The sequence below is a fragment of the Homo sapiens genome, chromosome 18 (genome assembly GCF_000001405.40).
Source record: "Homo sapiens chromosome 18, GRCh38.p14 Primary Assembly".
NCBI lineage: Eukaryota > Metazoa > Chordata > Mammalia > Primates > Hominidae > Homo > Homo sapiens.
The window spans coordinates 42,646,024-42,659,234 of NC_000018.10; the positions used below are offsets into that span (position 1 = coordinate 42,646,024).

General features: G+C 35.6%; 2 long non-coding RNA genes across 2 annotated transcripts in view; one reads left to right on the forward strand and one right to left on the reverse strand.

The window, feature by feature from the left end:
• Positions 1 to 13,211, forward strand: part of LINC00907 (long intergenic non-protein coding RNA 907) — a 504,759-nt gene that overhangs the window by 459,356 nt on the left and 32,192 nt on the right. The window lies entirely within an intron of this gene.
• LOC124904351 (uncharacterized) lies at positions 3,494 to 5,112 on the reverse strand. The gene is made up of 2 exons (XR_007066454.1): positions 5,005 to 5,112; positions 3,494 to 3,801 (listed from the first exon to the last, which is right to left on the reverse strand). It is a non-coding gene; the product is annotated as an uncharacterized LOC124904351 (long non-coding RNA).

Below are 13,211 nucleotides of genomic sequence, written 5' to 3' on the forward strand. Positions count from 1 at the left end.
TTTTATTTTTCTTTCTGAGAATGTACTTAGGAGAAGATAAATACTCTTTGAACTTGAGTTGTCTAGCTAAGACCTACTATGGTGCTTAGATTATACTTCTATATGTTTTGCCCTTGAGAATCTGATGTGGGCTGTAGTCAACAGAGTTTATTTAAAAAAAGAAGCAAAAGAAGAAAAGAAAGAAAGAAAGAAAAGAAAGAAAGAGAAAAAAAAGAAAAGAGAGGGAAGAAGGAAGGAAGGAATTATTCATTTTAAATCAACAAGAATTTTCTAATTTTTTTCTAATTCTCTCTGTCAGTGTGCCTTTTTGCTATGTCAAGTTATAAAGGAATTGAAAAACGCTTATTCTTTGAAGAAAGACCTGCAAATGAAACAAAGATAGAAGGCTGTATATATTTTGTCTTTTTATGCAGTCTCTCCTCTTTCATTTTGACTCTTTAGAACACCTGCACATGCCCTCCAGAAACAAGCACCTCTCTCTCTTGAGGTTTTCCCTTCACTGTTCTGGCAACTGAGTCATTCAGTACTCTGAGCACAGTGCTCCCTCTTGGGCAAGGCACCAAATGCCAACACATTTTATCCTTCTCCCCAAACCAAAACTTAACTCTATTCCTTTGGGGCATCTCCTTATGAATTTGGTTACAAATCAATTTATACTTAGGTGTTTAGAGATAATCCAAGTTTACTCACTATACATTAATATATATTTTAACAATGGACTCTTGAGAAAGGCCATGGTTCTTCATAATGGGAATTTAAAGCCCTATTGAAAGCCAGCAAGGGAGATGTAAGAGGCTGTTGGCCTCCCCTGAAATGACATTATGATAGGCCTTCTAACTTACCTGTGCAAAGCCCACCCTTGACCTTGATGTCATAAAGAACCAAATATGATTCCAGAAAGTTTTTGAAGGCTTTATTCCTCAAAACATAACCTGCCAAAAAAAATCCATAGAATATCCAGAGTGATGCTTTGATGTGGTCTTATTCTCTCTGAGTTGTTATTTCTATCTCAGGTACTCCATCTCTAGGTACTTCTTCTGAAGATAGCAAATCATTCCAGAAAGGGACTCCCTGCACACCCTCAGCAGGAGCTAAAATCTTGTGTGTTCTCTGTTCCCAACACATTTGAGAGAACTGAGATCTTGTTTGTAGAATTAGGATTCAATTTACCTGTTTCTGTTTATTGGTCCATCCCTTGCTATGTTTGTAGTGTGTACTGTGCCTCTATGGGAGACTAAGAGTAGATTTCAGATACCTCCTGCTCTGGCTCTATTCTGTTCTTTGGGCTTCCTATTCAGCATCAGCACCAGGTCTATGGGATGCAAACCTTCTTTTTAAGCTAGGGTTGCTGACATCTGCCTTCCTAGCACAAGGGGCTTTGAGTCACACAAAATTGAGATCTGCAGCTTCATGGTGTGACCTTGGCTAGTAGATTAAACTTTCTCACCATTATTTTGTTTTCGTTGTTGATTTTCAAAATGGAGCTAATAATAGCTACTTTATAAATATCTTTGCAAAGTTTTAGAGCATTGTAAAATGCATAGCCTGGCATATATGCTTGGTGCTCAGTAAAAATGTGGTCCTCCTGGCTCTGCTTTTCACCTTGCTAATCTCTTTGATTCTAAAGACAGATAAAAATTAACAAAGCATCTTTTTTTATGAAGCAAAAAGCACATAAAGTTAAAAAGTGTTAAATTATAAAACCAGGTCAAAGAATTACTTCAATTTTTCTGAGTCATTACTGAAGGAGTTAGGATACATGAATATGCTATGATTGAATTTATAGGTGGTATCAAAAGGATACCTGATCTTGCAAAAATGACAAACTATGTGTTGAATTTTGAGGAGTAAAAAATAAACCACTAGATGTGAAGTTTTTCCTTTACTGATTGTGAATCAGCTAGAGTCAGGAGTCGGTGGACTTCTCACTTCAAAGTTATGGAATTTGTGAAGCTTGTCTTTGGTATCCCTTCCTGATTTCTTTTCTCCTGTTACTCTTTCTGTTTTTTCACATGTACAATGACCTAATTTCTCTTCTCTTTCTCCTTAAAAACTCAAAAGAAACCAATAACAGTTATTCAAATAGCAGTCATTATAAATCACTAGTTTCCAACACTCAAGGACCTTTACATTTTCAACATTATATATAGGAGTAGAAAGATTGATCCCTAATTGAAGGGAATTGAGCCATTTTCAAGTACAGCAAGAAAATACTTAGAGTAAAACAGAAGCCCTTTCCCAAATTCCTGAAATAAACCACCAGTAATAATCATATTTGACTTTTCTTTTATAAAAACCACTGATCTTTGAATCTGTCCCATTGAAAAGATTAGAAGATTTGAATATGAGCATGGGTGCTTTAAGAGCTATGCATGCCCCTGAAAAGATCTAGAGAATAAAGTCCGGTACCTGTAAAAATAACATACTGTTATACACAGCATGTCCAGATATAGAACAGCACAGCTATGTAACAGTTTCAGTAACTGTAAAATTAGAGTAAAATTATTAAATATAAAAACATAGGATGACAAATGTGAATATGCTTTAAAATCATTTCACATCTATGGTACTGAAGCAATGGAGATTTCATGAATCAGATATCAGCATGTTCAACTAATATATGGACTTTTCAGGACATAGGAATAGCTCTTCCATCTTTTCACTTGAAAATAAGTAAAAAGATAGTAAGCTTGTGTTTTTCTGCAATAATATTATTTATTTGGTAATTTATGTAGTAAAATTACACAGTAACAATAATTGCTTTAATGACCCACTTTCATTGTTTTGACACACAGAAATCAATTGTGTTCAATACAAAGAAATGTATTACATAGAACTCAGTATTTCCAGATGAGCTCATTTAAATAAATTTGCTTACAATATTTAGAACTACACACACACACATCCCACATCAGTTTTTGTCCAGGATAAAGTTTGTATGACTGAAATGATAAACCCTGAAATATGATTGAATTGGATTTCCTAGTTGATTTAAGGCCTTACTGTTGGTTTAAGTACAGTCTTTTTCTTTGATTGGAATTGTGCTTATATGGACATATCTGGTGCATATGCTTTTAGGTATGCACGCAAGTCTTAAAAAACTAATTTATATTTGAAAAATGCAGAAGTACTTTTATTTATAAATGTATGTGTGTAGCAATAAGGCAAAGTTTCTTAAATAGATAATTAGCCTAGGAAGTGGATATGTAAGAATGAATATTTATATTAAATTTCTCACTCTTTCTCTGCAATAGACAGTTGGCCACTAGCCTTAGATAGCCAAGACTATTTTTATAGTCTATATTCTATATACTAAAGAGGTGCAAATGTGGGAATCTTGAATTTAAGACAGCAGGTAAGGCTACTTATAAACCCATGAGATTTTAAAGATTTTACTCTGTAATTATACAGACTTCTCCACAAGTAATTGTTTATATAAAGAGAGAGTTTCTTAGTCCATCCCTGCTGCTATAACAACATACCACAGACGGAGTAATTTATAAGCAACAGAAGTTTATTTTCACAGTTCTTGAGGCTGGGAAATCCAAGATCAAGTCGCCGGCAGATTCAGTGTCTGGTGAAGGCTCCGTCTCAGCTTTTTAGACAGCTCCTTGTTGCTGTGTCCTCACATGGCAGAAGGGCAAAAAGGCATAGCTAGTTCTCGCCAGCCCTTTTATAAGAACATTAATCCCACTCAGAAGGTCAGAGCCCTTATGACTTAATCATCTCTTAAATGTTTCACCTTCTAATACAATCACTTTGGGGCTGAAGTTCCAACATAAGAATTTGGAGGACACATACCTTCAAACAATAGGAGAGGGTTAGTTATTCAGTTACTCAGTATGTGTTGAACATACTATGACCCAGGCACTGTGCCAGATATTCAGAAGACAATGGTGACTAAGAATCCAATTCCCAACAATAAGGAACAGGGTTCAGGGAAAGACTGATGAGAAAGCAGTGGTTACAGAAGAGATCAGTGTTCTGTGATGATAAATAATGAAACATATAATGCAGCTACTTTAGGGAGTCATTGAAGACATTCAAGAAGAAACAAAGGATAAAATGAAACAAGAAGATGGTAGGAACAATAAAGTCATGAAGAAGGCTTTAGGTAGAAGGTGAGGATATGCTAAGGCTCAGAGAATTCCAGGGGATCCCAACATACTCAATACATTGTAAAGTAAAGGGGAAAATAAGGGCCAGGTCGTGGAAGGTCCTTACACTGACCTAAATAATTAAGATCGCATGCTGTTACAATAGACACCATGGAAAGATTAAACAGGAAAATGATCCGACAAGGCTGGACCCTTAAAAGATTACTCAAGCTGCAGCATGAAAAATATATTATTGGGGATCAGGAATTGGGGTGGAAGATACGCTGCTTCGAGATTTTGTAATTTTGAAAAGAGTATTGGGAGTCTGAAATCAGATATTTTACTTGTAGTGAAAGAAATGCAAACATTTCAGAGGCACTGTAATTAAGTGAAGGGAATAAAAAATGGTAAAAGCGGCCAGGCACGGAGGCTCACGCCTGTAATCCTAGCACTTTTGGAGGCCCAGGCGGGCAGATCACGAGGTCAGGTGATCAAGACCATCCTGGCTAACAGGGTGAATCCCCGTCTCTACTAAAAATACAAAAACAAAATTAGCTGGGCGTGGTGGCTGGCACCTGTAGTCCCAGCTACTCGGGAGGCTGAGGCAGGAGAATGGCGTGAACCTGGGAGGCGGAGCTTGCAGTGAGCCGAGATCGCGCCACTGCACTCCAGCTTGGGCAACAGAGCAAGACACCGTCTCAAAGAAAAAAAAAAAAAAAGGTAAAAGGGAAAACTGGTGCCTATTTTTCTGATTTAAGTAACCGGTTTCATAGTGGCATTGTTTAAAGCAATAGGCAGGATTTTAACAGGTACTATTTATTAGTCAGGGTAATTAATGCTAGCTGCTTATATTAAAAAATCTTAAAGCCCAATGGCATAGGAAAATTGAAGACTTGGTGTTGCTCACCTCATAGTTTTGATAAAGAAGACAGAGTTTTCCTAGTGGCCACTCAGGAAACTTGGCTTCTTCCATCATTTGCTTATTCTATATCAGGAACTTTTGATTCTATTTGCACTGGGGAAAGACAGAGAAAGAGACATTTTAAAAATACTTCTATGCCACTGTTTTTTAAATAGTATATATTGTTATCCTGACTAATATAAAAGTGGGATGATACCTTTGAATAACACTTTAAAAAAATAAAAATAAAAAAAAACTTTAAACATATGACAAATTTTAGTGATTAGGCAGCAAGCAGGAAGAAATGTGGCATCAGATTTTGGGAAAAAAATGCCTATACATGTTATACAGTAGCAAAAAAATTGGGGAGAAAAAAACACTATTCCCTGCAATAAAGTGAGAAGTGAACTATATGCCACAAGTGAACTGGCAGCTTTAGGTAGAGTTTGTTAGATAGAACCTTCCTTGTATATGTTTGTTGTCTGTGGCTGCCTTGAACAAGAATGTACAATACAGAGGAGACCTCAGGAGACACTTGGCCATGTTTCAAGCAGAGAGAGAACAGAGAAAGACCAGTAATTTGGGGGCTTGCAGGGCTGAAGAACTTGACTTTTTATAGACCCCAAATAATAAGACATGGAGTTTTAAATGGTATTAGCAACAAAGGATTAGTTATATTTCTCAAGTGAATATTGAGGGTCTTAGAACAAAGGTAAAATTAAAGACGTGTGATCCTCACTCAAGGCTAATATACCCTCAAGGTGGTCACCATTATGCTAAGAGAAATACATGTAGTCAACAAATCAAAGATATAAAGCCAATCTTGGAACTATGTTTAAAAAAAAAGTCGCAAACTGAATCCAGCAGTGCATCACAAAGCTAATCCACTACAATCAAGTAGGCCTTATTCCTGAGATGCAAGTTTGATTCCACATATGCAAGTCAGTAAATATGATTCATTACATAAACAGAACTACAAACAAAAGCATATTATCATCTCAATAGCTGCAGAAAAGGCATTTGATAAAATTCAACATCCCTTCATGTTAAAAGCCCTCAACAAACTAGGCACTGAAGGAACATACTTCAAAATAATAACAGCTGTCTATGGCAAACCCACAACCAACATCATACTGAATGGACAAAAGCTAGAAGCATTCCCCTTGAAAACCAAAACAAGGATGCTCTCTCTTGCCACTACCGTTCAACATAGCATGGGCGTCCTGGCCACAACAATCAGGCAAGAGAAAGAAATAAAAGGCATTCAAGCAGTAAGAGAGGAAGCCAAATTGTCCTTACTTGCAGACAATATGATTCTACACCTAAAACTGCCAAAAAGCTCCTTAATCTGATAAACAACTTCAGCAAGTTTCAGGATACAAAATCAATGTACAAAATCACTAGTATTCTTGTACACCAACAATATCCATGTTGAGAACCAAATCAAGAATGCAATCTCATTTACAATAGCCACAAAAGAATAAAATACCAAGGAATATAGCTAACCAGTGATATATCTTTACAATAAGAATTATAAAACATTGTTCATATAAATCAGACATGACACAAACAAGTGGAAAAACATTTCATACTCATGGATAGGAAGAATCAATATCATTAAAATGGTCATACAGCTCAAAGCGATTTACATATTCATTGTTATTCCTATCGAAATATCAAAAACATTCTTCACAGCATTAGAAAAGCTATTTGAAAATTCATATGGAACCAAAAAAGAGCTAGAATAGCCATGGCAATTCTAAGCAAAAAGAACAAGGCTGGAGGCATCATGTTTCCTGATTTTAAACTAAACTACACTATAAGGCTACAGTAGCCAAAACAGCATGGTACTGTTACAAAAGCAGATACATAGACATATGGAACAGAATAGAGAACCCAGAAATAATGCCACACACCTACAATCATCTGATCTTCCAAAAAGTCAACAACAATAAGCAATGGGGAAAGGACCTCCCATTCAGTAAATGGTTCTGAGATAATTGGTTGACCATGTGGAGAAGACTGAAGCTGTACCCCTTTCTTTTACCATATACAAAAATGAACTCAAGATGGAATAAAGATTTAAATGTACAACCTAACACTATGAAAACACTGGAAGGTAATCTAGGAAATACCATTGTGGACATAGGGGCTGGTAAAAATTTCATGACAAAGATGGCAAAAACAATCATAACAAAAACAAGAATTCACAAATGGGACCTATTTACACTAAAGAACTTTCACACAGCAAAAGAAACTATCAACAGAGTAAACAGATAAACTACAGAATGGGAGAAAATAATTGCAAACTGCACGTCTGACAAAGGTTTAATATCCAGAATCTATAGGGAACTTAAACAAATCAACAAGAAAAAATCTCATTAAAAAGTGGCCAATGAACATGAATAGACACTTTTCAAACAAAGATATACACACAGCCAACAAGCATATGAAAGAATGCTCAACATCACTAATTATTAAAGAAATGCAAATCCAAACGACATTGAGATACCATTTCAGCAGTCAGAATGGCCATAATTAAAAAGTCAAAAGATAACAGATGCTAGCAAGGTTGCAGAGAAAAGGGAATGTTTATACACTGCTGGTGGGAATGTAAATTAGTTTAGCCATTGTGGGAAGCAGGTTGGTGATTTCTCAAAGAACTCAAAGCGGAATTACTATTCGACTCAACAATCCCATTACTGGGTTTGCTGAAGAATTAAGGATTATAAAAAGGAATAAAAATTATTCTACCATAAAGGCACATGCACATGTATGTTAATTGCAGCACTATTCACAATAACAAAGTCATCAAATCAAAGTAAATGCCCATCGATGGTATACTGGATAAAGAAAAAATATATATCTGATTTAATGATTTTGCTACTGAGAATGGTGATGACTTTGCTTTTGTGAATATATATATATATATATATCTCAATCACATGGTGTGTATATCTATATATAGATACATAGACATATGTATCTGTATGTCTATATACATATACATAGACATACACACCATGGAATACTAAAGAGCCACAGAAAGGAACGAGACCATTTTTTTGCAGCAACATGGATGTAACTGGAGGCCATTATCCTAAGTAAACTAACATAAAAACAGGAAACCAAATACTACATGTTCTCACTTACAAGTGAGAGCTAAAAACTGAGTACATATGGATGTAAAGAAAGAAGGAAACAACAAATACCACGGCCCACTTGAGAGTGGAGAGACGGAGGAGGCTGAGGATCGAAAAACTACCTACCAGGTACCATGCTTATTACCTGGGTGTTAAAATAATCTGTACCCCCAAACTCATGTGGCATGTAATTTACCTGTATAACAAACCTGCATATGTATCACTGAACCTCAAAAAAAGAAAACAAAAGAAAAACCTTTGGGTATAATTATTGGTACCTGGAACAGACATAAAGCAAATTAATCAGAAGCATAGTACATTTTTGAGATAAATATATTGACAAATAAACCATAAAACCAATACGAAAAACAATCCACTTGATTGTTTGAAACATAAAATGATCTTTAGGGTTTCTACTTTCCAGAGGAAGGCAGGCTTTAAAGTCCATACAATATCCAAGTATGTGTAAAAGGAGGAACCTTTTGGGCAGACAGAAAAAACATATTTCCCCTTCTTCATTGCATCAGAATGGAGCCACGTGACTGAGTTCTGGTTGCTGGAGTGTGGCCAGAAGTTATGTCCACCCGTTGCAGCCTAATCACTAGAATGTGCTACATGATGTTTAATGTGTGTGCTCTGACTCAGTTGACCATGTGACAGATACTAAAAGACCACAGGATGGATGAAGCTACACTGGGAGAGCATTGATGTACATGAGAAAAAAAACTTCCAAGTGTTAAACCACGTGTATCAGAGGTTAGCTGTTACCCTAGCATCAGTCATTTTTTTCCATCAGTGTAGGCTTAAGAGACAAAATGATGCTTTCAGTTTAAAATAGTTTGACTCGGCCACCCCTTTGGGATGTCTAGAGTCCAATATGTAGGTCTATTAGAAATTGCAGGAGTAGACGACATTACCCAGGAATTGAGTATGCGGTGAGAAGAAAAGGGAGCCATGGGTCTTACCCCTGAGGAACTCTGTCATTTACAGATGGTCTGAAAAGGGTTGTCACTAAAGGAAGCTACTAAGAGTTGATCATGGATATAGAATGAAATTTAGGAGCCTGTATTGTCACTAAAATACAGAAAGCAGGTGCTTCAAAGAGGAAGCAGTTCACCATGCAATACTGTGCAGAGACATAAAAAAAGATAAGGGTTGAAACATACCCATTGGAGTCTCATTGATGATTTTCAAAACCAGCAGTTTTATAGGAGTAGTGAGTGTGGCTGCAGATTTCAGTGGGCTGGAGCCTGAGTTGAAAGTAAAGAAGAAAAATTGTGTAAGTGATTTCCAAGAATCTTGGATGAAGGTGAAGAATAAGATAATAATGTAACTAGAGGAATATATAGGGTGAAGGCAGGATTTTAAGACATGAGAGGATAAGAAATGGGTGAACGATTGACAGACAGCTCTTCATCTCTACTGGTGATTACAGAGAATCCCATCTTACACACATTATAGCTCCACTTCTAATCCCAGAACAATTTCCACACTTTTCCTACATTCCTGTGAAGTTAGATTGTAAAGTTCTTCAAGTCAGGGGATGTCTTCTATCTCTATGTTTTCTCCAGGGCTAAATGGGCACTGAGCACATAAGAGTGTCATAAATATTTTATTGATATTCAACCACAATAGGTATTGTCACTGCTTGATGAGAAATCAGACTCTGAAGAAAATTCATGGTATTACATTTCAGAAATAGGAATAGAATAGAAATTAGAAGAGAAACAGGATCCAATTTTCAAGAATTTTGATGTAATTTACTAGAGAGTTTTCAGAACATTCTTCTGTAAAGATTTTTAATATTAGTTTGCCACTAGCAATTACTATAGTATCAGATATAAAACTGCATGTTATAAAATACTTACATATTCCTATAATTGTAGTTTTAATGTGACCTTTTAAATTTTTATTTCATTTATTAATCATATTAATGCTAATAAACTACTACTAATAAGTGCACCTTCACTTTTATCTTATTTAACTTTCAAATTAGGTAAATCTAATCCCGATGCAATCCAGGAAGGTAGGCTAGAAGATATATTTCTTTCTACTTCGTGACAGATGGGATTCGAATTCAGTTTCTTTACTTCCCAGTCCAAGGATTTTGCACTATTCAAGCTCAATACATGCATTTTTGACATTTGTCTCTCAAATATTTGGCTGCATACACCTAGTCTGTTTTTGTGTCTACCTTCTTTTCCCTGGGTTCTTTGATCTTTGGTATGTTTGAAATGAAGGATAATTATTTCATCTAAATTTAAATGACGGTTTAACACACACATCCATCAAACCTATATTTGTTAGATGGTTTATAGATCATGAAGATTTGAGGACTAGTTCCATTTGAGAAGCCCATTCAGGCTGCCAGAAACCCTTTTCATCTTACCGGGCTGGCACTTAAGGTCTTGGCTCTGTATCCAATCTTAGGGTATTCAGGGAACAACAATATACTTGCTCAAATTCTGCAGATCTTAATAATGTTGCTCAGTGGGTAGGTAGAAACGAGTTAGTAGGGTAAGGATATTATCTGTGCCCTTGTAATAAATTGATGCTGTTTGTTATCCATAACTGTCTATAAGTGACCACAGTAGAAAACTGATACCAGTAAAAGCAGTGGATCAGGAATGAAAATCACTTCAAACTACAAAAAATTTTAATGTTTCAAGATTATCTCAAAAATACATTTAGTTTAAAAAATTGCAGCTCATGCTACTAGCTGAAGTTATAACATGGTAACTCCACTGTGATTATCTTAGCAATGGTCAATCCGCATTTTAATTGTCTCTTTGTCAAATTGCAGTTAATGACCTTTCCTTCTCATGAAGGTGGAATAAAATATGCCTTTGGAAACAGAAGGGAACATAGTCTAATGAGAAATTCAAATGAGTGATACGGAGCTGCCGAGCTTGCACCTAGTACTGTACTCTGAATGGCATGTTCTTAGTAATCAGATATTTTTGAAAATTATTTTAAAATTATGGAAAAAGATAATTAGTTGTCAGCTGGAGACATTTCGGAGTTTTGCAAGCCAATTTTGAACTAAGTTTTATACCCAACTTCCAAATACTTTGAAACTATGCTTAAATTGGAGAGTTAATCTCTCCTAGAAAACATTATCTTTAAATTTCCAAGAGAAGACTGCCCCTTAGAAATACAGACATGGTTTCAATGAAAGAGATCTGGACCGATTAATTGTGCATTTTATGATTAGGTTCACCAACAGATAGTTATATATACATATAGATATTTTGTAGACAAGCCATTTAACTTCTCCATATGTTAGTTTTTTTCACTTATAAAATGGGAAAATAATACCTGTGCTTTTTGCAGCAATTCTAAGGTATAAAATGTGTATTTCCAAAGGAATAAGTATTTAGAAAATATTTATCATTTAATGATGCAAGGTTTATCATTAATATGTCCAAAATTCTATATAATATTATAATTCACTAGCCATTGTGGACCTATAGTACTTCGAAATATGATACACTTTTCTTTTTTTTCCTTTTTTTTAGATTCTATTTTCAAAATTGGCTCACAGCTTGGATATATTTGAGTAAAGCAGCTCCTCCTTATGTCCCCAATCATATGGCTCTTGAGCATATAGGGAAGAGTGTGAAAGGAGAGGGTGGGAAACATTACATTAAAGATTGAAACTCCTAGAGTTTTTTTGATTTTTAGTATGATCTTTACATAAAAAAAAAAGGAAGAAAAAGAAAAAAAAAACAGAGTCTATTAAGGCATCTTCTATGGTCAGATATATCTATTTTTTTCTTTCTTTTTTTTACTTTCATTAAGTGCCACTAAAAAATTAGGTTCAATTAAACTTTATTAATCTCTTCTGAGTTTTGATTGAGTATATATATATATATACCCAGTTTCAAGCAGGTATCTGCCTTTAAAGATAAGAGACCTCCTAAATGCTTTCTTTTATTAGTTGCCCTGTTTCAGATTCAGCTTTGTATCTATATCACCTGTTAATATGTGTGGACTCACAGAAATGATCATTGAGGGAATGCACCCTGTTTGGGTGTAAGTAGCTCAGGGAAAAAATCCTAGCAAGTAGCATTTGGTTTCCTAGATAATGGTGCCATCTTTTTGGCACTGATGGAGACAATGAAATATTCATGAGTTTCTTAAAGTCTTTTGGAAAGAATGTGTGCTGGAATGGAACATTAATGAGCCAGTTTCTTCTGGTTTCATGCCAAGCAGGGGCTGTTAAATAATTAAGGTGTGACAAGCCAGAGTCTACACAGGAGGAGGTGGGAAGAATCAGTCGCTCAGCATTGGAAATGTTCCCCTGCCATCTTGAAATGAACACCCATCTGGTCCAAGTTATCGTACATTCCTTCGGGTATTCTCTTTAAAAACCTTATGGTATCCAATGCATTAAATTGTTTTGATAAAAACCTGCTTCAGGAACATTGAACTACTTCTAACATGTTTGGAAATCACTTAATTAGCCTTTATTGAGTGTGATCAGCATTGTGTTAGGCACTGGAGAGAGAAACGAGACAATTGTGCCTCAAGATTCCTGCCCTCTTGTATCCCCAAATTAGTTGAGAAGCTATGGAAAAAGTTACTGTGTGAGCAATTGTTTAATTTTTTAGAGGTTGAAATGCTTTAGGGAAAGATGCATTGACTGTTGAGTCAAGGAAGTTTTCACAGAAGATGAATGAGCTTGGGCCTTAGTGGAGATATTAGACATCCGTGAGCAGAGGAGAAAATAAGGTTTTATCTTAAGAGGAATAAGCAAATGAACAAAAGTATAGAGGAAGAAATGCACAAAAGAGGAAGAGCAAAAATATTCTCTGATGGTATATTAATAACCCTACAGAAAATAATGTCCTTGTTTTTCACACACTAAAATATATAAATAGTACAAGCATATGTTCTATAGGAAATGTTGAGTTGATGGGACAAAGTGTTGACTCTTCAGGATACACAAACTCTGAAAGCGAAGGTGGGTTCCCAGCAGAGATTGCTTTAGTCTTTCAGTAAAGTAGGCAAACTGAATTCTGAGGAGTTTTTATGAGTACAGATCTTTCATATCAGGTCATGAAAACA